This window comes from Homo sapiens, chromosome 3, assembly GCF_000001405.40.
Source record: "Homo sapiens chromosome 3, GRCh38.p14 Primary Assembly".
Taxonomy (NCBI): Eukaryota; Metazoa; Chordata; class Mammalia; order Primates; family Hominidae; genus Homo; species Homo sapiens.
Genome location: NC_000003.12, coordinates 151801075 through 151828547, shown reverse-complemented (window position 1 = coordinate 151828547; position 27473 = coordinate 151801075). Strand labels below are relative to the sequence as shown.

The following is a 27473-nucleotide window of genomic DNA, read 5'->3' as shown; positions in this document are numbered from 1 at the left end:
ATTAGGGATGTTTCACGTTATAAATGAACATTGAATAAAATCTTGACATTACTCAGACAGGCAATATTTGCTCACATTTATTCTCTTGCATCGTAAATAGTAGCCAACTCACAAAAATAAAGTATACAAGAATGTAATATTTTTTAAAATAAGATTAACAGTGTAAGAAGGAAAATCTCAGAAAAAGCAGATAGACAATGTAGAAAATTGAAATGAAATCCCACAGTAAGAAAAAAAAAACAGAAAAGTGCCTATTTAAGAATTATGCTACATGTGGAACTTAACTAGACCATTCTAAGAAAGACCAATTTCTAATGCAAATTTTCTGAGGTTTTCAGATTTTATTTTTAAAATATGTTATAGCTACATGTTTTACTATAGATTTTCCTTTAGCCACTCAATATACTGATTTATAAGTCTGTGACTAATTTTAAGTCCCAGAAATGAAAATGCTCCATGGAATCCATCCTCAACATGGTTATGAGTCACCTGAACCCCAGTGTTGCGAAGTCGGGTGACATACATGAGTCCATCATCTCTTAAGAGATCATATTGACAGGTGATGACATAGGTCAGGGGTAAGCCACGTAATTTGTTGTCATCAGCCAACAAAGGGGCTGCCCTCACATCTAGGAACCCTGGATATTTTTTAGCCAGCTCAGAACTGCCATAATTTGGATTGTTATAAACATGTCCTTTTATAAACCTCTCAGGGAGCAGGGAACTCCAATTAACAAATTTGAAGAGATGACTTGATTCCACAGGTACATGTTGTCTGGAAAGCATGGCTTTTTCAAGTGATCTATCAGTGGTAAAATATTCACTCCAGAATCTGACCATGAGTGATTTGGATAGAAATAGAAAATTTGAATTTTCTTGATATGACGGTAAATCTACATCAAGAGGCTGAAGGGCAGGATAAATTAAAGACTGGATCTTGAGTTTGATCTTGACATCTGGGTCATCAAGGAGCTGAGAAGCAAGATGATTTGCACAAATCATTTTCATTTAAAACAATAAAATATCCCTAATAAGATTATCTATCTGTCTATCTATCTTGTTTTTATCTATCTATCTATTCATGATCTCAAAAAGACTTAAGTAATAAATGAAACATACCACCACAGCAAACTTTCTAACATTCAAAATGGGTTTCTAGAACTAGATGTTCATCAATATTTTCAACTTAAGGAAAATCATCTGTCATATATGCTTTATGGATAATGCAAAAAGATCTAAGTGATCATTAGAAAGTTAATCTCCTTTCTGCTAGGAATGATAACCAGAAGAATTGCATAAATATTATCTTCTGTTCATGTAAGAGTTTATTAAAATAGGCCTGGTATGGTGGCTCATTCCTGTAATCCCAGAACTTTGCAAGGCTGAAGTGTGGATTGCTTGAGGTCAGGAGTTTGAGACCAGCTGGCTAACATGGCAAAAACCCGTCTTGACTAAAAATACAAAAATTAGCCAGGTATGGTAACGCACACCTGTCATTGAAGCTACTCAGGAGGCTAAGACACAAGAATTGCTTGAACCCATGAGGTGGAGGTTGCAGTGAGCTGAGAAAACACCACTGCACTCCAGCCTGGGAGACAGAGTGACACACTGTCTCAAAAAAATATATTATTAAAATATACCAGTATATCAATAAGCTTTGCCATGAAGAAGAAGGATCACTTAATAGAGGTTTCTGACATGGCTTTGATGCTAAAGCGACATGTTACTTTAGGAGATTTGGGCAAGACTTCTGTGTGAAATGGTCTATTAACATCATCTTTTATATCAAGTCTGTTGTGCTAATATTTGTAATAATCAGTGGTCTGTAAAGAGGGATATACCAATACCAGGGAGGAAAAAAGGAGACTTATAAGAATGAAATATTACAAAATATGTTTTAAATTGTGAAAACATATAGGTTAAAAAATAATTTTGTGTTTTTGAAGTGTGTAATATACTATAAAAGATGTATAGAACTTCTAAATAAAAGTACAGATATTATTAGATGTAACCCCAAATATTTTGCAAATTGTAGTATTTATCCACATTTTAACTATAATTATCAAAATAGACCATTGTGGAGCCTATTTGTAAAGATTGTTACAAGTTGCCAGGTATTTTTATATAAATTTATTCATATGACTCTCAAACAACTCTTTAAAGTTGAAAGAGTTCATTTTTCTTACAGGTGAGGAAATGAATGTTTATTTAGGGAGATTAAGCCAATATCAAATCTAGAAATTACTGCATCTCCAAGTTTCCTGATGTCCAGTCTAATGCTTTTGCTGCTACATTATGAAATCCATAATAATGATTAGAAATCTATCTGTGAAGTTTCAAATACTTGTTCTATATTGTGGTTGAAACAAAGTGCAACTATGATTCTTTACTTTTGAGAATATTGTCCAACAGATTCTAGCAGTCAAAATGCTTTTAGTGTGAAAAATTATAAATAAATATAATTAACAAAACAAATAACAGCAATGTTTTAAAATTGCTGTAGAACCCTCGTTTGTAACTAAAGTCAACTAATAAAAATCTAACCTTCTACATATGTTCTACTTAACTTCTACATAATCCCAGAGTGCTGGGATTGCAGTTCTGAGCTACCAGATGCAGCCTATAATTTTAAATGAATGATTTATCCAAAGAATTAACATTAGAGAGAAGATCTTAGGTAGCTTCTTCTCCTGACTGCTACTCCATGGGAAAATAGTTCCTTTGCGACTACTACATGAGAAAAGAGTTTAGATGTTTAAACAATCAATAGCAGTGTTTCTCCTTCATCATAAAAACAAAATCTATTCTACATATAATCTGGGACAAAAATGCCATTTGTTATTATTATTATTATTATATTGCCATTATTAAATGACAGATAAAAAGATCTGATTTTACATCTACATACAAAAATCTTTTGAATTCTTCATATTTCTTCTTTGTAAGTAGCATGGGAATCTTTGAATGTGTTGATAATTTTCTTAAAATAGGATGATTATTATGGTAATAAAGGAATACACCATCGAAGATTATATGAATTCGTCTGAATCTCTAATAGCGTAATAGGGTCATTAGTCTCACAATTACATGATCTCATTCACCTACTTAATATAATATTTTACTGACACATATTATTTTATTTTTTATGCTTTTAAGAGACAGGGCCTTATTCTGTCACCCAGGCTGGAGTACAGTGGCACGATTACACCTTACTGTAACCTTGAACTCCTGGGCTTAAGAGATCCTTCTGCCTCAGCCTCCTCAGCCTCCTAGGTAGCTAGGACTACAAACTTACACTATTATGCCAGGCTAATTTTTCTTTTTTCTTTTTTTTTTTTTGTAGAGACAGGGTCTCACTGTGTTTCCCAAGCTGCTATCAAACTCCTGGTCTCAAGTGATCCCTTTGCCTTGGCCTCCCAGAGCGCTGGGATTGCAGTGCTGAGCTACCACATGCAGGCTATAATTTTAAATGAATGATTTATCCAAAGAATTAACATTCCCTTAAGGAAGAAAAAAAAATCTATGACAGAAGCAGGGATTGATATTATAATGTTTTAGTCATTTCTTCTCAATATTCTCTTTAATAGTTTCAAAAAATCAATATCTCCTATTTGCATTCATATTTTAATACATGCATTCAATATGTTTATAAATATGTTTTTAAAACAGCGTAGAAACGCTATTTTTAAAAAGCATAGAAATTATGAACATACCTGTTGAGTCACTGCTGCAGCTAAATTCCCTCCTGCACTATCTCCAGAAATACCGATTCTCTCAGGGTTCACACCATATTTTGCAAGAACTTTTTTACGTAAGAACCACCTTAAGGCATTATATACATCTTCAAATTGAATTGGGAAATGATACTTAGGTGCTAATCTGTAGCTGTAGAGAGAAAACATAGTTTACACATTTTTTTGTTTGTTTTGATTAGACTGTAATATATTATTGGTGCAAAAGTAATGACAAAACCGCAATAACTTTTGCACCAACCTAATACATGCTGGAGGTGCACATAAGTATATAATTTCTTTAATTTTCAAACTAAACACAGCCATATAACCAGCACTCAGATCATGAAATATAACATTGCCCGCATCCCAGAAACCTTTTGTTTACTCTCTTTAATTCCTGACGTATCCACTAATTTGACATAACAGCATAAATTAATTTTGCCTAGTTTTGGCCTTTAAATAAATAAAATCATATAGCATATACTCCTATGTATCTGGTTTCAATTGTTCAACATTATGTTTTTGAGCCTCATTCACATTGCTTCTGTCTTCCTGTATAGTACTCTATTGTTTGAATATACCACAAATCATTTACCCATTAACATGTTGATGGGCTAAGTGAAATAAGCCACTCATGGAAGAACAAATACTGTATGTTTCCACTTATATAAGGTGTCTAAAATAGTCAAATTCATAGAATCAGAGTGAAAAGATGGTTGCAAGGGCTGTGGGGAGGAGGAAATGGGGAGTTACTGATCAGCTGGCATAAAGTTTCAGTCAAACAAGTTGAATAAGCTCCACAGATCTGCTGTACAACATTGTACCTACAGTCAAAAATAATGCAAATTTAAAAATTCACTAAGAGGGTAGATCACATATTAAATGTTCTTATAAATAATTAAACAAACAATAAATACTAAATAAATATTTTTCCAAGTAAAAAAATGTTATGGGGATTTAGGCTGCTTGCAGTCTTGGGCACAAACAGTGCTGCTATGAATATTCTAGTACATGTTTTTTGGGGCCCTATGGCTGTGTTCCTGTTGATACATACCTGTGCTATTGATAATAACAGAGGTATGCATATATGCTTAGCTTTACTTAATAATGTCAAAGAGTTTTGCTAAGTAGTTTACCAAGTTATTCTCAAACTAGAGCTTATGGAAGTGCTGTTGATTCAAAACCTTACCAACACTTGGTATCTTATGTCTTTCTCATTTTATCTATAATCTCGAGTATATGCAGGTATCTTATAATAGTCTTAATTTGTATTTTCCTGATGTATACAGTACATTTTCATATATTGTTTGATGATTTCAATATCCTTTTCTGTAAATTGTCTTTCTGAGTCTTTCGCCTATACTTCTATTAATTGGTAGGTGTTTTTATATTTTGGATTTGAAAATGTATATATGTATTTAAAAACTTTTATAGTATACATATGTCTATACCCACATATATATACACACACAAACTTTAAGACTTCTATTAATGTCTTTTGATGAACATAATTTCTTAATTTTTTTTTTTTGCGGGGAGACAGAGTCTAGTTCTGTTGCCCAGGCTGGAGTCCAGTGGCACAATCTCGGCTCACCGCAACCTCCCACTCCCAGGTTCAAGCAATTCTCCTGCCTCAGCCTCCCGCGTAGCTGGGATTACAGGTGCCCACCACCACACCCGGCTAATTTTTGTATTTTTAGTAGAGATGGAGTTTCACCACGTTGGCCAGGCTGGTCTCAAACTCCTGATCTCATGATCCACCTGCCTCGGCCTCCCAAAGTGCTGGGATTACAGGCATGAGCCACTGCACCCAGCCTGAATTTTTAATATAACCATTTTACTGAGATATTCATAACCTATAAAATTAACACATTAAAAGTATGCCCTTAATTTTTAATATAACCATTTTACCGAGATATTCATAACCCATAAAATTAACACATTATAAGTATGCAATTCAGTGATTTTCAATATATTCAGAGTTGTGCAACCATTGCCACAATCAATTTTGGAAGATTTTCCTCATGCCAAAAGGAAATCCTATACCCATTAGTAGTCACTTCTCATTTCTCCCCATCCTCCAAACCCAATCATAGGCAACCATTAATCTACATTCTATCTCTATGCATTTGCCCTATTTTGGACATTTTATATAAATGGAATCACAAAACTTTCCATTTATGACTGGCTTGTTTCATCTAGCATAATATTTTCAAAATTTGTCCATACTGTAGTGGTCCTTTTATTAACAAATGAATAATTAACTGATAAATGGATGAATAAAATGTGGTATATTTACACAACTGAATATGTGTATAGATATGCCACATTTTATTTAAATATTCAATTGAATTTCAAATATTCAATTGTATAGATATACCACATTTTATTCATCCATTTATCAGTTAATGAACATTGGGTTGCTTCCACTTTTAAGGTTTATGAATACTGCTTCTGTGAACATACAAGTTTTTATATGGGCATGTTTTCATTTCTCTTGTGTATACACCTAGAAATGGAAATACTGGGTCAATATGGTAACTCTGTTTGAACTTTTAAGGAGCTGCCGAAGTGTTTATTCCCACCAGCAGTATAGAGGATTCTGATTTTTCCATGTCCCCACTAACGCTTGTTATTATCTTTTTAAATATATATATTATACCCATCCTAGTGGGTGTGAAGTGGTATTTCATTGTGGTTTTGATTTGCATTTCTCTAATGACTAATGATATTGAGCATCTTTTCATGTGCTTATTGGTCATTTTAATTTAAATATAACCAAAATTATCTATCTTTTAATATTGGAGTTCTTCATCTTTAATATAAATAAAATGAGATTATTTGAAGGCAAAGCATATATTTGCATAAATATTTTAAAGTATATTTTATCTTTCAAGTACATGAAAGATGCTTATTGGCCATTTTAATTTAAATATAACCAAAATTATCTATCTTTGAATACTGGAGTTCTTCATCTTTAATATAAATAAAATGAGAATATTTGAAGGCAAGGCATATATTTGCATAAATATTTTAAAGTATATTTTATCTTTCATGTACTAGTGATTTATTAGTCATTGCAATGAATTAAACACAGATGTCGGTCTTATACTATAATTTGACTTGCCATGTTTAAGAAAATTCTCTTTAAGTATAAAGTTGGAATGCAAAACAGCATAAGCTTGGATTTTCTAATTGCATTTTACAAAATATTATTCTAGCCACTATATTTATGAGTGATCACATACAACCAAATATTGATCAAGATTATGTCCCAACTTTATAATAATGATTTAACTTGACAAATGGTGATGAGTATGTTATTTTTTTAACTGTTCATTTACTCTCTGAAATTTCAATTTAAATATATACTGCTCTGGCATGAGTCTACCCAGCAATCCGCCCCTAATTTTGCTGTCCCTAAGTGCTCTTTCCATAGGTGGATTATTTATCTAACATAATTTTATATGAACTCATCTATTTTGTTTAATTTGATAATACATTTTTAATATACTTAGCGCAGTGTATAACACTTGTTGAGCCTAAACTATACGCTATATTTTAAATATTTAAAATTATATAGCCTACATTTTAGGCTCACCAAGTGCTATATACGCTGGACTCTGTTTCAAGGATGTTATCACTTACTCTTCACAGTGACCATCTGAGATGGAAATTATTTATGATGCACTTTTATAGATGATCCTGTGACTCCAGGGCACTCATTTTTAAAGACTGGGAATTAAGGGTTGAAAGGAAATACCGTCCAGGTAATTATATCCATAAATGATACAGTTTGAATTTATGTGAAAAAAATTTTTACTTTTTGCTGTTTCTTTTTGCCAAAATAACACGTGTACACACATATACAGATTTTTTTTTCTCAACTCTAATCAGGTTAAGCCTAGCACTCACTTGCAGTTGCCTACTTAGTGTCATCTGAGAAACATTTATTTTTGGCATGATCATGCATTGGCTGAGAAAGCTGAGAGAATCGGCTGAGCGCGGTGGCTCACGCCTGTAATCCCAGCACTTTGGGAAGCCAAGGAGGGTGGATCATCTGAGGTCAGGAGTTTAAGACACGCCTGACCAACATGGTGAAACCCCATCTCTACCGAAAATAAAAAAATTAGCCGGGTGTGGTGACTCGTGCCTGTAATCCCAGCTACTCGGGAGGCTGAGGTATGAGAATCACTTGAACCCGGGAGGAGGAGGTTGCAGGGAGCCGAGATCCTGCCACTGCACTCCAGCCTGGGTGACAGGGTGAGACTCCATCACAAAAAAAAAAAAAAAAAAAGAAAGCTGAGAAAATCTTGGCATGTCAGACATCTGGCCAGGAAACCAAACAGCACAGCTCTTACTTGGTTGATACGACGACAGCATCAAGTCTGTCTGCTGTCCATCTTGACAGCAAGTCATAACCACTTAGAGCTGAAATAAAAGGATAAAAGCAACATATTAGTAAAACAGACAAATGAAGACAAGGCTGTTTCCTTCACAAAAATCCTGCTGCACTTCTTTCACGTTCTGGCAGTTCTATTTTACCTTAAAATACGAGAGACAAATTTAACACTGTATTTATAAGAAGCCATCCATTCATGACTCAGTGGAATTCAAGTTTCCCAGTGAACCTCCTAATGCTCTTCCTCCCTTTTATCTTTTGTCTTGCACATTTTGCCATTGATCCTTCTGTGTCAGACTCATTCTCTAGATTAACCCAACTGTGTATACTGGAAGGAGGTACTGATTTGGCTCTGTTTTAGATGATGGGTATACAAAGATAAAAAGACAAGTCGCTAACTTGATCAATACGTTGTCAGATATGTGAGCCAAGGAGATATAGACAGAATTGTTGCAATATAGAAGGATCACCTAAGTCTGCATGGGACAATAGAAAAGGCACCTGAATATAAGTGGAATAGAACTAGGTCCCCTTAAACAAACACTGGAACTTACTGCTTGCATCTGTACTACTACTTTAAGAATGTATCTAGCTGAGGCCTCTCTTTGCCTCTTTTTCTCTTGTCTAAGAGGAAGACGTAATGCTCTTTTTTTCCATTTCCAACCTTCCTATCTATATCCAATTATTTTACTAGTGCTCTAAATCTTCTTCCCTTTCATTTCCTCTGGGATGTGTATCTATCAGTCAACACTCCCAGCCCATTACTTGGCTAACATATTTCTACTTATTGCCTTCATTTATTTCAGTCTACCAACTTGTTTATATTTCTCCTGCACAAAAATAAAAGAAAATTCTCCTACTTAACTCTCATTTCAATCTATAATTTTCTTGCTTATTTATTTCACAACTAAGTCCTTTTAAGGCCAGCAATTATTCTAACCATTTTATTTTCTTCCCTCTCACTTTTTGCTTGCTGTAATGTGTTTCTCTGTGAATATCCCATCATGTCAGCAAGTCTCTCCTCAACAATATTAACATAGAAAGTTCAACATCCAAGAGACATACTTCCATCCTACTTACTTGACATCTCTACACGATGCAGGACTTCTATTATTTCCTCTTTCTTGAGGTTCTCACCTTCTTCGGCTTTCTTTTCATTTTCTGACATTTTTGACCACCTCAGTGCTTTGCTGTCTGCTTATTCCTTCACCCAACAATTTTGTTTGCATTCCCCAGAAATCTGTTCTCACCCTCCCAGTCATCCTGTCAGAAATGAGGCACTCATTCAGATCTATTTTTTTAATCTTCTGTCTTTTTCTCCTCTAACTTCCCACATCAATGGACAAATTTGCTTAATTTCAAGCCTGTAACCTTTTCTTTTCAGGACTAATTTATTCTTCCTCTCTAGAGTTCAGAGTTCTTAACTTAGTAGGTCCAGTCCAATCTTCACTCCTCCAGTTAATCTATACTGTATTCATTGGAGGTAAACAGATGAATCTCAAGAGCCCTAGGACTCAGGTGGGTTAGGTGATTTTCTCACATAATTGGGACTTTTATCCCAGTGCTTCCACTTCTAAATGTTTTTGTCTTTCTGCTGTAATTCTATACATCAAGAAATATACAACCTTCACACCCAATCTTGATTACTCTTGCCAAATAAACTAAGTTTAGCCTAAAGCTGCCTCTTTGCATATTTTAAAGGTTTCTTGATACACAGTGAGTTGTAACTTAATTGGATGTGTAATCTACTCTTGTCCCAATCACTGAGTTTCAGCCAAAGGTAACCAACTTGTGGAACCAGTTTCAAATAAGGCAAACGCTGAGCTGTAACCAATCCGCCTATTTCTGTGCCTCACTTCTGTTTTCTGAATGTCACTTTCCTTTTTCTACCTATAACTCTTCTTCGACCAGGAGGCAGCGCTGGTGACTCTCTGAACCTATTCTGGTTCAGGAGGGTGCCTGATCCACAAGTAGTTCTTTGCTCAATTAAACTCTGTTAAATTTAATTTGTCTAAGGTTTTTCTTCTAACATTCTGGCCTATTATTTCCTACATTTATCACTTTAAAACACACTGTATTATTTACTTATTTATCGATCAAAGATTGTCTCCATTAGAATGTAAGATCCAAGAATACAGGAAGACAGGATTTTTTTCTTTTTTTTTTTTTTTGAGGCAGAGTCTTGCTCTGTTGCCCAGGCTGGAGTGCAACGGTGCAATCTTGGCTCACTGCGACCTCCGCCTCCTGGGTTCAAGTGATTATCCTGCCTCAGCCCCCCGAGTAGCTGGGATAATGTGTGCCCGCCACCACACCCGGCTAATTTTTGTATTGTTTTAGTAGATACAGGGTTTCACCATGTTGGCCAGGCTGGTCTCAAACTCCTGACCTCAAGTTATCCACCCGCCTTGGCCTCCCAAAGTGCTGGGATTACAGGCGTGAGGAAATTTTGTCAATTCAAAAATATATTCAAAGATATAAAAATATTACCAGACATATAGTAAATATGAGTAAATGGATGAAAACATTAAATGGTTCTGTAATATCAAGTGGAGAATGATAGAAATAACAAGGCTTTCTTAGAGTAATTGTGATAAATAGAAAAAAAAAGTTTCTTCTCACCTCTACCTGGGTTGATGAGGAAATGCATATGTGGAAAAGAGTGATATAAAGCTTCAGGGAAAAGTAAAACTTTGCCAGAACAAAGCACGAGAAGATAAAAGAGGCAGTAATGTCCATGCCGAAGGGCATGTGTACCTACTGAAGACTTAGTAAAATGTCTGCGAACTACCTCAGTGACAGAGATTTTTCAAAGCATTCACTTACCAGCACTTCCCACGCACCAGCCTCCACCATGGATGTAAAACAACCCCCTTCTTAGTGCTTCAGACTTTCTCTTTGGCACATATACCCGAACAAGAATGTTGTTGAATTTTGTCTCAGTCACAGTGACATTTTCATCTGAGGTTGGTGGGACTTCATCAAAGCTCCCGACAACCTTAAAGGAATCCATAAAATGGTGAAGTCCCAGGAGCTCCACAAATGTAGCCTAAAAATGAAATTCACAAACCTCCTGAAATTCAAGTATCAAATGGCAAAGAGATCTATGGACTTATAGGTAGACATTAACCCTTAATAAACTCAAATGGAATGAACTAAATTTTCATGCATGAATCCTGCTTGGTCCTTTTAAAAGAAACCAGAAATGCAAAGGTTATGCCTAGGGTGGTTCTTAAAAAAGAGGGAATACACTGTGAAGGAAATAAAAATATTTCATCCCAAAATATATCTCCTTGACATAATGCAAGGTAGCTTTTCAGAAGGGCTGGAAATACAAGATTAGCTGGAAAGCTTTTCTTTTGTGGAGGTGATTTGCATCTGTAGAGAAAATCTGCATTGATGGCTTCTGAGAGCCTTCATTTGTCCAGATCTAGGAAAAATCAACTGAGAATCTGACACCTTTAAAAGTCTGAAAGAAATTTTTACCATCTGTTCTCTCTGAGGGCTGCTACCTGTGAGGATCCATCTATATAACAAGACCACTTTTGCTAACCATGTCTCCTCTTCTCTCCTTCCCATAACCTGTCTTGCCACCATATCATTTTTTGGCCAAGCCACCATTCTTTCTGTAACCTCAAGATAGTAAAAAAAAAGTGTCAACCATCTGGCCATTTCTTTGAGATTTTATATTTTGTAAGTCTATTATGTATGCTAAAAATGTATATGCCTTTTTCTTCTATTAACCAGACCTGTCAGTTGACTTTCAGCAACTTTCAGAGGGCAAAGATGAAGTTTTATTGTGACCCCTGCTACTAATTTAGTTCCTATGTCACTAAAATGTGTCAGGCTCTCTACCAAGCTTTACGGTTTCAGAGATGAACCAGACAAATGCTCTTCTCAAGAATCTCAGAGTTAAGTGTGAAAGACAAATAAATGGTTACAAAACAATGTAAATACTATTACAGAGCTCTGTACAAAGTACTTTGGGAGCGAACAGCAGGTGATTACAAAAAGCTACTTGGGAGTAGAAACTGGAAAAGCAATTTTGTCTGAGGCTTGAAATAAATACCTTTTCCTAAGTCTTTTGCTAACCAAATAAGAAAAGGAAAAACCCTGGCAGGTCGAGGAACTGGTTTAGTTTAGAAATAGGGAGGTGCAGTGAGGTGTGGCTATGGAGCTGGTTGCACATGGGAGCTGGGAGTCAGGGTTGGGAGGGAAGGAATGAGTGGGAGAAAAAGGGAGGGCAGCTTGCCTGCCTGCAGCCCATCCTTTCACTGTAGAATGAGTCAGTGTTCTGAGCACTCTATTGTAGTCATCTCAGTAATATTAACAACTTGCTTATATGGGAGGAAGATAACATTTTCTTATCCATGTCAGATATGAGGAAAGTGAGCCCAGGAAGGTTAAATATGTCGTCCATGCCTACACAACTAGTAAATGATATTTACCAGGATTCTCAATCCAGTAGTTTGATTCTTGATGTAATGTTCATAACATAATCCTTTAATAAAGGGTATGAACACTCAAAGATTGCCAGACATTTCAGAGAAGCCAGCAAAACTAATCAGGAAAAAAGGGACAAACCAGGAGCATAAACGATCACAAAAAAGCAAGCAAACAAACAAGCAGATAATTCAGGAATAAGAAAGGGCATTAAAACAACTTTTAAAAGGTATATCGACTGAGAGCTCTGAAAATACATTACTTTCATAAATTGTGGACAGAATGTAAGTAAATGAATGAATTAATTAATTAAAAGGCTACCAGAGAAGAATATATATATAATTGCTTAAATAAATAAAAATTAATATAAAGACTCCAAGAAAAAAATCAAAGACCTCTCACATATTGTAGCACAGACAGCAAATATGAGGGAAAAAAATGTGTCCCTTTCTTAAAGCTCTTTAATAGCTCTGCATCACATACAGAATTAAATCAAAACTTACTACCAGTGCCCACAAAGCACTGTATGATATGGCTTCTAACCTCTCCAAACTAATTGCAACAATTTCCCCATTAAACCCAAATGTTTCATATGATTTCTTGGACTTGTCAATATTCTGTAGCTGGGGTGTTTTTACTTGTTGGTGTCTCTGCTGGAAAACATTTTTCTTAGCACTTAGAATGGTTGGTTTCTTTTCATTCTTCTGGTCCCTAAGTAGCTGTTTCCTCTTCAGAATGGCTTTTTCTCACCATGCATACAGTAGCCCACTCTTGCCTTCTGCCCAAATTACTCTCTTTTCTTCCATCTTACCTCCTTAAAGGTACTTCTCATGAACTAAAATCATTTATTCATTTAATTCTAATTTATTTTTTTCTCCACCACTAGAATGTCAACTGTGTGGGGATAGACTACTTGTTTGCCTAATAGGATTTGAGACAGTTGAATTGTTGAATAAATGCAAAATAAAAGATTAATCCAGGAGTTACAACATTTATCTGGTTTAAGTTCTGAAAAGAGATTTGTTTTAATGAAGATAATAAAATAACCAAAGAAGTAATAGTAAAATATCATCAAGGATCCAGAGAGAGCTACACCTTTTTAATTTGCCAGCATCCAAGCTGCCCAGTTGCCAGGACACCCAGGTCTCCCTCCCCCTCTCATTTGTGCATATTGTGCCGTCTCGTGGTTAACCCTAGGCATGTGCCAACCAGCCTGCCCATTGAATCTTTTCTTGAGAACTTATTTACGTGTCCTTAGTCTATATTCTGAATCCCAAAGATAAGTGCATAAAAATCTGTAACTAACACAGTGCTGCATAATCAGATGATCTCTAATTTGAGTATAAAATTTAAGGAACAAACCATACCTAAGATAAGAATTTCAAAGGAGAGCCACTATCGTGATATTAAAGCTACCTAAACAAAGTACTTTTTAGCAAAACCTATTCAAATGACTCCTTGCTTGCTGTTCTTGATATTTTTTTAACATGATTCCAATACATAAGACAGAAAACAAACAACATTTCTAAGTAACACATTGTCAAAGGCCACAGCAGTTATTTTAAAAGATGAATAAGTCAATAAATCAAAAGAATAGAATCTTGAAAAACTTAATTCTCTGGGTCAAATGGTGGTGTATGCACATCTGAATTCATAAAATTCCAAACTTACCAAATTTTGTATAGTTTTCAGATGTGCGTTTATCCACATCATTCTCCATGGCTCCTCAACGTTATCTGGGAGAGGCGTATAAATATAATATGCTATGAGGATCCCCACAATCAGAAGGTACAGCGATTTTCTTCCCATGGTGAACGTCCCGCTTCTTGGTCTCTAGAAACACAGAAAGTAAACCTACATGATATGCCTGAATAGTGTACTTTAATAAGCAGTGTGCTTCAGCTCCACCCAAAAGCTTTGAAAACAGAGTTGCTCACTTAGTTTAAGGGTTGGCATAATAAGGCCAAAATTTTATCTGTTATCCAGATACAGTCATGTTAAGTGCAACTTCAAGGTTTAATGAGTAATAGGAAACTAGGGCAAAGTTTGTCAATGATCATGCTGTTATCTGTATTCCAATAAACAGCATGTATTGAGTAATAACTCGGGAACAAATTCTTTAACTCTAACAAAATTATCCATAGAAAACATACAGAATTCAGAATCTTTGTTTTAAAATAGCTTATCATGGAAAAAACAAATTATATATATACACACACACATATATATACATATATATGTGTGTGTGTATATATATATATTTTTTGATACAGAATCTTCCTCTGTCACCCAGGCTGAGTCCATAAGAAGCGTTTTGTGTCAATAAGTAGTTTGTTTGAGGGTGTGTTAGGCAGTGGGATTTCCATGCATTGGGAAGTGGGGACGGGGTTTAGGCAAGTGTTCCACCCTGCGATTTCTATGCAGGGCCTGTGTCAGTTATTGCAGAATCCTGATGTTTCTCCCGTGACTTGGGTCTGACGGGGGTTGGAGATTTTGAGAGTTTGTGTGGGGTTTTTTTCTGTTATTGTTTGGATGCCTGTCGGGGGAGTGAGTGTTAGGGTACAGTTGCATAAGCTAGAGGAGAGGGTGCCTAGGGGCACTCCTTTGGAAAGTTCACGCTTTATGCATAGGGATGCTGGTTGACTGAGTTCTGAGTCTGGGGTAAGTGTTCCTAAGATAACCTTGTGTTCTGCAGTATGTGTGGTAAGATTGAGTTTGTAACTTTTGAGTGCATTTACTTCTCCAAAACTTTGGTAGCGGGGGTGGAGGGTCATATTGCTGAGAACCCAGTCTTTGAGGGGAGCTGGGAAGACATCTTTTGATACGGTTTCTGAGGGGTGTACCAGCAGGCCTTGGCCAGGGAGGGGTTAGTTTGACTGAGTATCATATGTGCCTGTGGAATGGTGCGCTGTAGGTGGAGCGGTAGCGAGAAGGAGGAGGGAAGAAGGAGTAAATAGACAGAGAGCAAGTGTAAAGGTAAAGAATTCGGCTTCATCTGGAGTGAATTCCTGTAAATCCCCTTGAAATATAAGATTGGTGATCCAATCAAGGAATGCTGTGAGGGTGGGATGTTCTGGGTAGGACCATGAAAGGTTTTCTGTGATGCAGTGAAGGAAGAGTGTGAAATGCCAGGATGGGCAAAGACAGGACATTTAGGAGGGGCCACTATCTGTTGGTGGTGGCTATTATACCTGCTATGAGGAGGATTATGAGGCAAGAGGTTACGAATATTGAGTTTTTTTTGTCTGAAATTCCACCCAGGAGGCAAGACAGTATATATTCCTATGGCAAAGAGTAGAGTAAGTAGGGTGATTCCTGCAAGGGCAGCGTAATGGATGATTTCCATTAATAAGGGTTTGGATACTTAATGGTAAGGGGTGATAACTTATCTGCTATGGTTCATGAGGGAAGAGTGGGGTCTTCAGGCATGGGCGTTAGGCGGAGTCGAATTGGTCTGAGAAGAGTGCTGGAGTATTTGCAGGGAACAGCTGGTTGGTTAGTTGGTGATGGGTCAGCTGCAGGTGCTCTTTTTAACCTGGAAAGATGGTACCAAGACTTGTGTTCTCAAAGTTTGGCTGCAGTGGAGGTAGCGAGAAGGACTTGGAAAGGGATTTCGCACTTTGGCATGAGACTTGTTGATTTTTAGGAAGACATATTCTCCTGGAAGGAGTGTTTGGTCAGTGGTGCCTTGGTGGGGTTTTGTGGGGGCCTGGTCAGCTTGTTCGCAGAGGAGATGATGGATGAGGGAGAGTGTTGGGAGGTATTCTAATTGATACTCAGGAGGGGGTCTGTTTTGTAAGAGGAAAGGGCATCCATACATTAAGTCGAATGGACTGAGGAAGGAGGGGGCCTTTGGACTGGCTCTGATATGAGCCAGTGCTATGGGTAAAATGGAGGTCTAAGGTTTTTTAACCTCAAGTGTGAGTTTGGTTAACTGAGTTTTGAGAATTCCATTTGCCCTTTGGACTTTTCCAGATGACTGGGGCTGGTATGGGATATGGAGGCACCACTGAACACCAAGGGATTGAGAGACTTGTTGGGTAATTTGGGAGATGAAGCTAGGCCCATTATCTGATTGTATGGAACAAGGGAGACCAAATCTAGGGATGATTTTTGTTATGAGAATTTGAGAGATTTTTCTGAAGGGGTAGGAAATGCTTCTACCCAACCTGAAAAAGTGTCTATGAGAGTAAGAAAATATTTAGTTTTTTTGACAGGAGGCATGTGGGTGAAGTCTACTTGCCAGTCCTCCCCTGGGAGTGTTCCTCTGAGCTGATGTGTAGGGATGAGGAGAGGGCGGAGGGCCCCTTGGGAGGAAGTAACAGAGCATATATGACAGTTTGAGGTTATGTCCTTTAGTGAGGTGAATAGATGGGGGGAGGAGAAATAAGGGTGAAGGAGTAGGTACAGGGGGCGCCCACTGATATGGAAGGATTGGTGAAGAGATGTTGGAATTTCCTTGGTTTGCTCTTGGGGAAGAATGAGCTTTTGGTTTTTGATTATCCAGTCCCCTTGAAGGGAGGCTCCTTGCTGTAGTAGTGAAGAGTTTTTGGTGGGAGAGTATCTGGGTTGGACTGCTGGGGTGACAAGGAGGATGGGGGCAGGGATAGGAGAAAGAGAGGCCTGTTTCGGTGCTCATCAGCCTATTTCCTCTTGAGATTTCATCTGAACCTGCTTACTGTCCTCGACAGTGTATGACTCCTGCTTCAGTTGGGAGGTGTGCAGCCTGAAGGAGTTGGTAAATAAGGGGGCCATTAGTAATGAGGGTTCCTTTGGCAGTAAGGAATTTTTTCTCTTACCAGATGGCGGCATGAGAATGAAGAATGTGGTAGGCATACTTGGAGTCTGTGTATATGTTGACCTGTTTGTCCTTGGAGAGGGTTAGGGCTCTTGTGAGAGCTGAGTTCTGCTTTCTGGGAGGAGGTTTCTGGGGGTAGGGGTTTAGCCTCAATTACATGGTTTAAGGTAACTACTGCATACCCAACAATTTTGGGAGAGCCGGGGGCTCTGGAAGAGGAGTCATCTATAAATAGTTGGTCATCTGGATTAGTGAGAGGCTTGGAGGAGATGTTAGGGAATTGTGGCTGCAAGTGATCCAGAATGTCAGTGCAAGAATGAGTAGGAGGGGAAGAGGATATGGGAAGTAGGGATGCCAGGTTGAGGGGGGCACTTTTGGCAAGGCTGAATTCAGGATTTTTGATAAAGAGGGCGTAGAGCGACTGAATTTGGGAAGGAGAGAGGGAGCTTAATGCCCAGGAGGAGAGGAGATCCTGTAAGTTGTGAGGGCTGTGAATGGTGGTGCTTTGGCCAAATGTTAGTTTTTTGCTTTCCAGAGGCAAAACGGCCACTGCTGATGATGCTTTAAGACAGGTTGGCTGCCCTTTGACAGTGTTGTCTAGTTGTTTACAGAGATATGCTACAGGGTCAAAGGAAGGAGGATTTCCCTTTTGTTGCCCTAAGACCCCAAGAGCTATTCCTTGATTTTTGGTGGTATAGAGAACAAAGGGTTGGGAGAGGTCGGGTAAGGACAGGGCAGGTGCAGTGATGAGAGCAGTTTGGAGTTTACAGAAACTGGGAAGTATGTTGTGTATGGGGCTTAGGGGTTCATTGAGGGGGCCTTTGGCTGCTTCGTAGAGGGGTTGAGCCAGGAGGGCAAAGTTGGGAATCCATATTCTAAAGAAACCTTCTAGTCTTAAGAAAGAGAGAATTTCATTTTTTGAGGAAGGCAGAGGCAAGCTGTTTATTAAGGTTGCTTGTGCTGGGGTCATGGCTTGGGCCCCAGGGGAGAGTTGGACTCCTAAGTATGTTACTGTTGGGGCAGATAGTTGGGCTTTGGAGGGGGAGACCCTATATCTTTTGCTAGAAAGAGAGTTTAGTAGGGTGATGGTGTGAGTTTGGAGTCCTCTAGGGAGGGGCTGCAAAGAAGGAGGTCATCAATGTATTGGAGGAGGCAGCTGGGGGAGGGGTTTAAGGTGGTGTGGTCTTGGGCTAGAGCTTGTCCAAAGATGTGAGGGCTGTATCTGAAGCCTTGAGGGAGGACAGTCCATGTGAGTTGTGACTGAAGAGTGTCAGGATCTGTCCAGGTGAAGGTGAAGAGGTCTTGGGAATTAGAGTGTAAGGGAATGGTGAAGAAAGCATCCTGTAGGTCGATTGCTGTATAGTGGGTGGTGTTGGAAGGGATGAGGGAGAGAAGTGTACAGGGGTTAGGGACCAAGGGGTAAATAGGGAGTACAGCCTGATTGATGGCTCAGAGGTCCTGAACGAGTCGGTATGAGCTGTCAGATTTTCTAACAGGGAGGAAGGGGGTGTTATATGGAGAATGTGTTGGTCTAAGAAGATCACATGAGTACAGCTTGTTTATAATGGGTTGGAGGACCTTTTGGTGGGTTAGGGAGATAGGGTATTGGGGAACGTTAGGAAATTTGGAGGGGTCCTTTAACTGGATTTTGATGGGGTTATGGTGTGCAGCTATGGAAGAGTGTAGGGAGACCCCCTGAAACTATTGCTATGGAATAAAAGACGAAATGCCCCTGATTATTGTAAATACAAAATTGCATTCAGGATTGTGTAAAGACAATGCCAGGTTGGACTGCCAGAATGAGCCAATAGTGCGTGATGTGCTTCCCCATGCAGAAAGCCTATGAACGGACTTGCAGTCAGGGAGGTTTCACATCACCAAGAATCCTATTCCAGAAAAGCAGATGTTCATAGCTCTGGGAATGGAATGTGAGCCTTGTGGAGAGCCTATAAACGGATGCATGAGGGGCACCTGTCCATATGGTAAGATAGGGCTATAACTGCCCTCATCTTGCCACAGCTCTTCTAGGCCTCTTTAGGGTTAAGGCATACTCCCTTCTGAGAATATCTGGTCTAACCGGTTGTCTACCTTTACGTCCTGTTTCTATGGATTGTTTGTAACCAGCTTTTGCTGCAACTGTTACTGCTGATTAATATCTGGCTAATCATAGGTTATGGAAAGGCTATGTTTCTGTTTTAAGGCTCTGTTAAGAATTACTGATGCACACACTATATTGTAAATTCTTATCTCTGTATACTGTACTTCTGCATACAGATGTTATGTTAAAGAATTACTTCATCCCCATGTGACCATCTCATCTCATAATCAAATGCCCCTAAATCCCTCAGTAACCTACCCCCACCTTCACTAAACTTAATAATAAATGCTGGTATATCCAGTGCATTGTTGGCACTGCAGGACCAGAAGGCGGTGACCCCCCTAGACCTGGCTTTCACTATCTTGTGTGTGTCTATTATTTCTCAACATGCCAATCCGCCTGGGAACAAAGAAAGAGCCCTGTTGCATTGTGGGCTGCTGGCCAGATCCTGCAATAGAAGAGGTGGTGGTATCCCACACCACTGGGTTAATGAGAGAGGAGAGAAGTGGGTAGTGGGGAGAAGGGTCAGGGGCTGGACTAGCAGAGAGGAGCAGAAAGGACTCTGGTTGAGAGACACAGGAGAAAGTGATGGAATCTTTGAATTTAGCTAAAAGGTCTCGGCCTAGAATGGGGGTGGGACAATGAGCCATGATAAGGAAGGAGTGTGAAAAAATAGTATTAAACAAGGAACAAGTAAGGGACTCAGTGGCGTGTGGATGAGAGACGAATCCATCAACCCCCATGACAGAGACCTGAGAGGGATGAATGGGTCCTGAAAATTCAGGCAAAGCCAAGTAGGTGGCCCTGGTATCAATTAAAAAGGAGATCAGCTTACCTGTTACTGGCAGAGTTACCCTGGGCTCCAAAGCAGTGATGGCAGATGGGACCGGGGGCCCTGGGCTCTGTCATTCTTCAGTGGCCAGACCAAGGAGCTGCGGTAGGATGAGTGATCTTTCACTCTCTGCCTTGCCAGGGCTTTGAGGAGTTGGTCTGTTAGCCTGGTTTTTAAGAGGACAATCAGACTTCCAGTGGCTGGTCTGTTGGCAGGCTGGGCAAGGAGTTTTTGGTGTCCTTGGGTTAGGACATTCCCACGCCCAGTGACCTTCTTTGCTGCACTTAAAACAAGGCCCAGGAGGGTTACTGCCATTGGGTTTTTTGTGCCCTTGGGTACTATGGCTAGGTTGATGGATAGCCACTGCCAGAAGCTGGTATTTAGCACAATCTCTTTGGGCCTTGTCTAATTTAATCTGCTCCTCCCTGTTATTGAAGACTTTGAAAGTCAGGTTAAGGAGATCTTGTTGTGGAGTTTGAGGGCCATCTTCGGCCTTTTTCAGTTTGTGCTGTATGTTAGGAGCAGACTGAGAGATGAAATGGTTATTAAGAACGATAGTTTCTTCCCGGGAGGTGGGGTCTACACGAGTATATTTTTGGAGGGCCTCTGTAAAACGAGAAAGAAATTCAGCAGGATTTTCATCGGCTCTTTGGGAGATTTCTTTGAGCTTTTCAAAATTTACGGCCTTATGGGCTGCTTTGTTAAGTCCTGCGATGAGGCAAGTAATCATATGGTTACGAGATGCCCGGCCAGGGTCTGTGGGTTGGTACTTCCAGGGGGGTTCCTCCAGGGGAACTGCAGCAGCCCCTATGGGCTTAGTAGGGTCTTGCCGATGAAGATCGTTGGCATGTGCCTGTGCTGCAAGCCACACTCTTTCCTTCTTTTCTGGAAGGAGGGTAGAAGAGAGGATAATGTAGAGATCATGCCAAGTGAGTTCATAAGATTGGGTAAGGTACTTAAATTCTTTGATATAAGTGTCGGGATCAGAGGAAAACGACCCGAGACGTTTTGCAATTTGGGAGAGGTCAGAGAGGGAGAAGGGAACGTGGACTCGAATGATGTCTTCGGCTCCAGCCACCTCTCGGAGGGGAAGTATGGGGGCTGGTTGTTGGGCATGCTGAGTTTGAGAGCGTATGAGGTGGAGTATGAGGTGGAGATGCGGATGAATCAGAGTCAGAAGCTGGGTGGTTGGAGAGGGGGGGAAGAGGGAGGGCAGGAGCTGGAGCATAGGGCGGAGGGTCGTGGTGATTGGGCGGAGCATTATTATGTTGACTGGGAGGGGCAGGGGGAGACGTCGGCAGGGTCAAAGGAGGAGGAATCGCCAGAAGGAAGGGGAGCTGAGGGTGAGCCTGGCTTGGAGCGGGCGAGGAGGATTTGGAAAGTGAAACAGGACCGATAAAGGGAGGGGCAGCTATGGAGGGCAAAAAAGGCCTGAACATAAGGGATTTCAGACCACTTTCCATTGCGATGGCAAAAGTTGTCTAGGTCCCTGAGGATGTTAAAATCGAATGTGCCATTTTCAGGCCACTGGGAGCCATTGTCCAATTTATACTGAGGCCAGGCTGTGTTACAATGAAAGATGAGCCTTTGTGGTCGAATTTCGGAATGGAGGCCAAGGGCATTAAGATTCCGGAGGAGACATCGGAGGGGAGATGTCTTTGAGGGACTGGACTGAGAGGCTCCCATGATAGAATGAATGAGGAACAGATGGAGATGAGAGACGTGGCCAGAGACTAGAATGATAGGAGAAGGCGTCCCCTGAGTCGGAGAGGTGCGATAATTCCCCATTCAAGCATCCGTGAAAGGCAGATACCAAGGGCCTGGAGGCTGGGAGGAGAAAACTCTTGGCCCAGTGCTGCATCTTTTGGGAAGGAAAGAGTGGACAAGGGTTCCGGACAGAAGGCAGAAGTCTCCTTTACTCACCCCTGAGGTGGCCCTGGTGTTGGATGTGTCTGCCAGCAATGGAAAGGAGTAGGAAATCCTCTGGGTCTCCAGCACGTTCTGGAAGGGGGAGTTTGGCCGGGGGAAGCGGGGAGGAAAGGAGAGAGGGAGAAAGGGAGGCCGAGCTCTACCACCTTGCCGGGTTTCGGCACCAAGATACAAGGGATAATTGGAAGGACAGCCGAGAAAGGAATGAGGCCAATAGACCTAAGTTCAGGCAAGCTGATTTATTGTCAGTCCTGCCGGGCTACCTCCTGACAAAAGCAGAGGAGGCAGCCCCGCTTACAGGCTATAGCAAGGTTTTATAGGGTGTAGAACTGGGTCAAGGTGAAGGAAAAAGAAAAGAGTTGTAGGGTCCTTTGTGCCAGGTGTCTGACCGCTTCCTGGGGATGTTTTTCTTGCCAGTTCTGTTGTGTAAGGTAGACGTCTTGACTGCATCCGGGAACTGGTCAGACAGTTACAGGCGGGTTTGGGGTAGGAGGTTTTACTTTTGGCCTTTGGGGCTTAGGTCTATGGGAGGGGGAAACAGTACACTTGGGTGAACCCTAACAATAATAATAAATCACATTCCTACATTGCTAAGCTCACTGATGTTGACACCTTCCTATATTTACTGTCATAACTTTTTTTATACATATGTAAATCTTTCCTAGCTGAATCCTAGAGTAAATAATTTCTTCAAGGAGTCATGGTTTCCTTTAGTGGTAAATGTTAGAGAAAAAAATCTTGGCTTTATATGTACTCATTGGTACTAAGCCATCTTAGTTTGCAGAGCTAGAAAAGATAGATTTTGAAAATATGAGTTTAAAATGATGTTTAAATTTAATACTACAAGATTGTCTTGATTTCATTACTTTTGCAAGTTTATATAGTTTTTCAAGTTAACATTTCATTTTCATTTTACATTACTGAAATCTTACGTTCTGTTGTATAAAATTATAAAACATTTATATGCAAAAAGGAAAATTAATAAGTCCATCCTCTTTCCTGATATTCTCCTCTCTTGGCTTCACATAGATCTCTAACCCTTCTCAGTCACCTAAGAGTGTACCCTCCCTCTTCACCATTTGCAAGTTGCTTCACGTCAGCACTCTCTAAGCCCAAACCTGTAACACTGGCAATCAGAACCCTCCTTAAATCTAGGCAATTGAGGCCTCCATCCCAAGCCCCTACACTTAAAAGGACTGTCTGGTCTTCCTCTGATTGCTGGCTTCACTGTAGGACTAGCAGAGCAAGGGGGCATGTCCATTCCCTTCTAGGCCATACTCCCAGCACCCTGGACCTTGAGCCTTGAACAGTCTTTCTACATTTAATCTATTGTCTTGTTCATTGAAATATTCCACATGAAAAAAAAAATACTAGCTACTTTATTAAACATGAGAACTGAAGCATTTTTCCTGGAGTACATTTTGATCTTGGAAAGGATAATAATATTGTTGGAGAAAAAATTGAAAGGAAGAGACAACCCATTATTTAATCCTATAATGTTAAGCATGAAACAATTCAAAGAAAGCAAGCTATGCTTTAATATTCAATTGTTTATTTTTCTTTATTTTATAGACTGGGTCTCACTATTGTGCCTAGATTGGTCTCAAATTCCTGGCCTCAAGTGATGCTTCCACATTGGCCTCCCAAAGTGCTGGGGTTATAGACATGAGCCATCACACCCAGCCAATATTTAACTTTAGTATATGGAAACTCTGCAGTTTTCCTACCTCTATTTGGGGACACGAGAAAAGCATATTTGGAAAAGAACTATTTATTTGAGCTGTGAAGGAAAAATAAGTCATTTCCAGCAGTATGTTGGCAAGCTCACAATGCAACAGTATGTTGGCAAGCTCACAAAGGAGCTTGGTAAATCTGTGAAATTTCTAAGTTCTGTCAGTGAATGGAAGGGTCAGAAACTCTTAGGTAGGGTAAAAAACTATTAAAATATTTCAAAGTACTTATTAAGTACTGATGATTAATTATGTTTTCAGTAGCAAGTCAAGACTCTTCTCAAGCATTTGGAAACTTATTTTGGTTTGGATTTATATTTTTATTGCCAAATTTGAGCTTCTCAGTACATATTAGATTGAAATTTCAAAAATTCAATTAATTTATGTTGCTTCTCAGTACATATCTTTCTTTCTAGGAATACTGGAATCTGCTCACAAACTTGGAGTATCAGGTTTTGGTATATCTGACATTATGGTCACTGAATAGTTCTCACTGAATAGAGAGGCAAGAAATACGTTGTACCTCACCTAAGTAAAATAGCCTGACTCATAAACTTAGGAAGCAGGAACATGATATTTAATTTGTAGATTATGATAAAAGAGTAGTCAAAGTAATATCAAAATTGTATTAAATAAATTTTCCACCAATTGATACTTACCATTACTACTCAAACATGAGCCACCACCATGGTTATAAAATAAGCTTCTTTTTCATGATTCTGTCTTCCATTTTGGCACACATATGCAGACAACAATGTTGTTAAATTTACTTCTCACAGTTACATTTTCATCTGAGGTTGGTGGAAACTTTAGAAAGCTTGAAAGGAACATCATAGGCTCTATCAAGTTGTTTGGCCCCAACATTTCAGCAAACAGGGCCTAAAATAAAACACATACACATACACACACATTCTAAGTGTCAAAAATATTTTTGAATAAAGAAGTGCACATTAATATCTGTTATGATCCCAATGGTCTTAAATTACATACTCTCAGAAAAATGATATCACCTGAAGATACAGAAGTTCAAATATTGTAAAATAAGAATTATTCTAAGTGAAATGAATCCTCATTTATGCATCACTCAATAGGAATACCATATGGGTCTATAATCTGTGCGAAATACTGTGAAGACCAAGCAGAATCAGGTAAATTCATCATCCTAAAACAAAACAAAACCACCACCAACAAAAACGTCAGAGCCAAATGAGAGACATGAATGACAAAACAAGGTCTTACCATAGATATAGACAAAGTTATTTGGGATAATCATAAAGACGTAAGAGAAGGAAAAGAATTTCAACTTGGAGTTAAACTGGAACTTGAAAGGAAAGTAGAGTTTGGACAACAAACTTAGCAGAAGGCCTCTCAGGCAGATTAAATGAGCTTAGCCTAGAGAAAAACAAAAATATAGAAAGTGAGAAGTGCAGGTCTTCTGTTATCCCTATACTTCTGGGTGTATGACAGTGGGTAAGAAGAGAGAATCCTTAAGAAAAATTTAATAAAACACACACACATTAAGGAAAAAACAAAGGCAACCATCAAAAGCCGTGATAGAAATATTGAAAAATTGAGTTAGTTAAGATTAAGAATTTATGTTAATCAAACTATCCTATAAAGTGATTGAAAAGACAAGCTATGACCGGGTATGGTGGCTCGTGCCTGTAACTCCAGCACTTTGGGAGGTCTAGGCAGATCAGTTGAGGTCAGGAGTTCTAGACCAGTCTGGCCAACATGGTGAAACCCTGTCTCTACGAAAAATACAAAAATTAGCCAAGTGCGTTGGTGGGCACCTATAATCCCAGCTATTTGGGAGGCTAAGTCAGGAGAATCGCTTGAACCCAGGAGGCAGAAGTTCCAGTGAGCCAAGATTGCATCACTGCACTCCAGCCTGGGCGACAGAGCAAGACTCCATCTCAAAAAAAAAAAAAAAAAAAAAAGACAGAAAAAAGAAAGAAAAGACAAGCTACAATGTGGACAATGATATTTGTAATACATACAAATAAGAAAATATGAAAATATTAGTATATAGAATGTATAACAAACTCATACAAAGAAGGAATAGACCAAAAACTCAATAAAGTAGATGAAAAACTTCTACAGTTTTTTCATGGAAGGTCTAGTTATTGAGATTTCAAAGAAAAAAACCTATTCATTTTTCAAGTATATATTTCAAAAAGAAATACCTATAAAACAAGATGGTAAAATAAGCACTGTTTTAGCATCCTCTCCAGTCTCCAAATATTATTAAAATGATGAGGCCAGGTGTGATGGCTCATGCCTGTAATCCCAGCACTTTGGGAGGCAGAGGCGGGTGGATCACCTGGTCAGGAGATCGAGACCATCATGGCTAACATGGTGAAATGCCATCTCTACCAAAATTACAAAAAATTAGCCAGGTGTGGTGGCAGGCGTCTGTAGTCCCAGCTACTCGGGAGGCTGAGGCAGGAGAATGGCGTGAACCCAGGAGGCAGAGCTTGCAGTGAGCCAAGATCGTGCCACTGCACTCCAGCCTGGGCGACAGTGCAAGACTCTGTCTCAAAAAAAAAAAAATTATTAGTTGGCGATTAACACTCCTATCTCATTAATTCTTACATGGTCTAATAATAGGTTATTATTATTAGAATAATAGTCTCCTTTTAATTATTATTCTATAATTAGAGCAAGTATGCAGAAAACAGTAGGCATATAGAAAATTCAGTTTCTTGTACAGCCTCCACAAGTTATAGGTAATATCAGAGCAAATATTAACATTTCATGGTACAAATTGTACATTTAAAATTAATTCAAACTTTTATAAAACCCATTACATCAAGAGTTAAATCTTTTTTAAAGAATTCTTTCAAAGGAATCAACTCCAGATGTACTGAAATTTATATTTTAAATGTTATCAGAAATGTATCCCAATGTTGTCACAGTCCATAAAATACTCTTCCCAGTTCTACTAACAGTTGTATCAGAAGAATGAGCCTTCTCAAAATTAAAAATCATCAAAACTTAATTTCAGTCTTGCATTTGTGGAGAACAGCTGACTTCACTTTCAATTATGTCAATTGAAAATGAGCTGGGCGCGGTAGCTCTCATGCCTGTAATCCTAGCACTTTGGGAGGCTGAGGCAGGCGCATTGCCTGAGCTCAGCAGTTTGAGACCAGCCTGGGCAACGTGGCGAAACCTCATTTCTACTAAAATACAAAAAATTAGCCAGGTGTGGTGGCGTGCGCCTGTAGTCCCAGGTACTCGGGAGGCTGAGGCAGGAGAATTGCTTGAACACGGGAGGCGGAGGTTGCAGTGAGCCGATATCACACCACTGCACTCCAGCCTAGGCGACAGAGCAAGACTCTGTCTCAAAGAAAAAAAAAAAAAAAAGAAAAGAAAATGAGGCTAAAAAATTTAATTTGAATGATAAATTTACAAAAAAGTGGGCCAGAAAAATCTTATGATCAATCCATATATCACATTGATAAATTGTTGTTATTCATTGTATTATATAAAATGATAAACATGCTTTTG

General features: G+C 39.1%; 1 protein-coding gene and 1 long non-coding RNA gene across 4 annotated transcripts in view; one reads left to right on the top strand and one right to left on the bottom strand.

Annotated features, from left to right (window-relative positions):
• Positions 1-27473, top strand: part of AADACL2-AS1 (AADACL2 antisense RNA 1) — a 176997-nt gene that overhangs the window by 99628 nt on the left and 49896 nt on the right. The gene's annotated exons all lie outside the window — the stretch shown is intronic.
• Positions 60-14432, bottom strand: AADAC (arylacetamide deacetylase). Of its 2 annotated transcripts, none has more exons than NM_001086.3 (5): positions 14248-14432; positions 10960-11182; positions 8096-8165; positions 3714-3885; positions 60-972 (listed from the first exon to the last, which is right to left on the bottom strand). In NM_001086.3, the coding sequence occupies exons 1-5, from the start codon at positions 14383-14385 to the stop codon at positions 376-378; spliced, it is 1200 nt and encodes a 399-aa protein (NP_001077.2). In that variant the 5' UTR covers positions 14386-14432; the 3' UTR covers positions 60-375. The 2 variants fall into 2 exon arrangements, with proteins under 2 accessions (NP_001077.2, XP_005247161.1); XM_005247104.5 differs by having other exon boundaries at positions 10960-11131.

Excerpts from the sequence above, each read along its gene's own strand:
- AADAC (NM_001086.3), bottom strand. The coding sequence starts at position 14,385 with ATGGGAAGAAAATCGCTGTACCTTCTGATTGTGGGGATCCTCATAGCA. Across the intron at positions 11,183-14,247 it reads TGAAAACTATACAAAATTTG|GCTACATTTGTGGAGCTCCT; the intron begins GTAAGTTTGGAA and ends TTTCATTTTTAG. Across the intron at positions 8,166-10,959 it reads CTGGTGCGTGGGAAGTGCTG|CTCTAAGTGGTTATGACTTG; the intron begins GTAAGTGAATGC and ends CTTTTATTTCAG.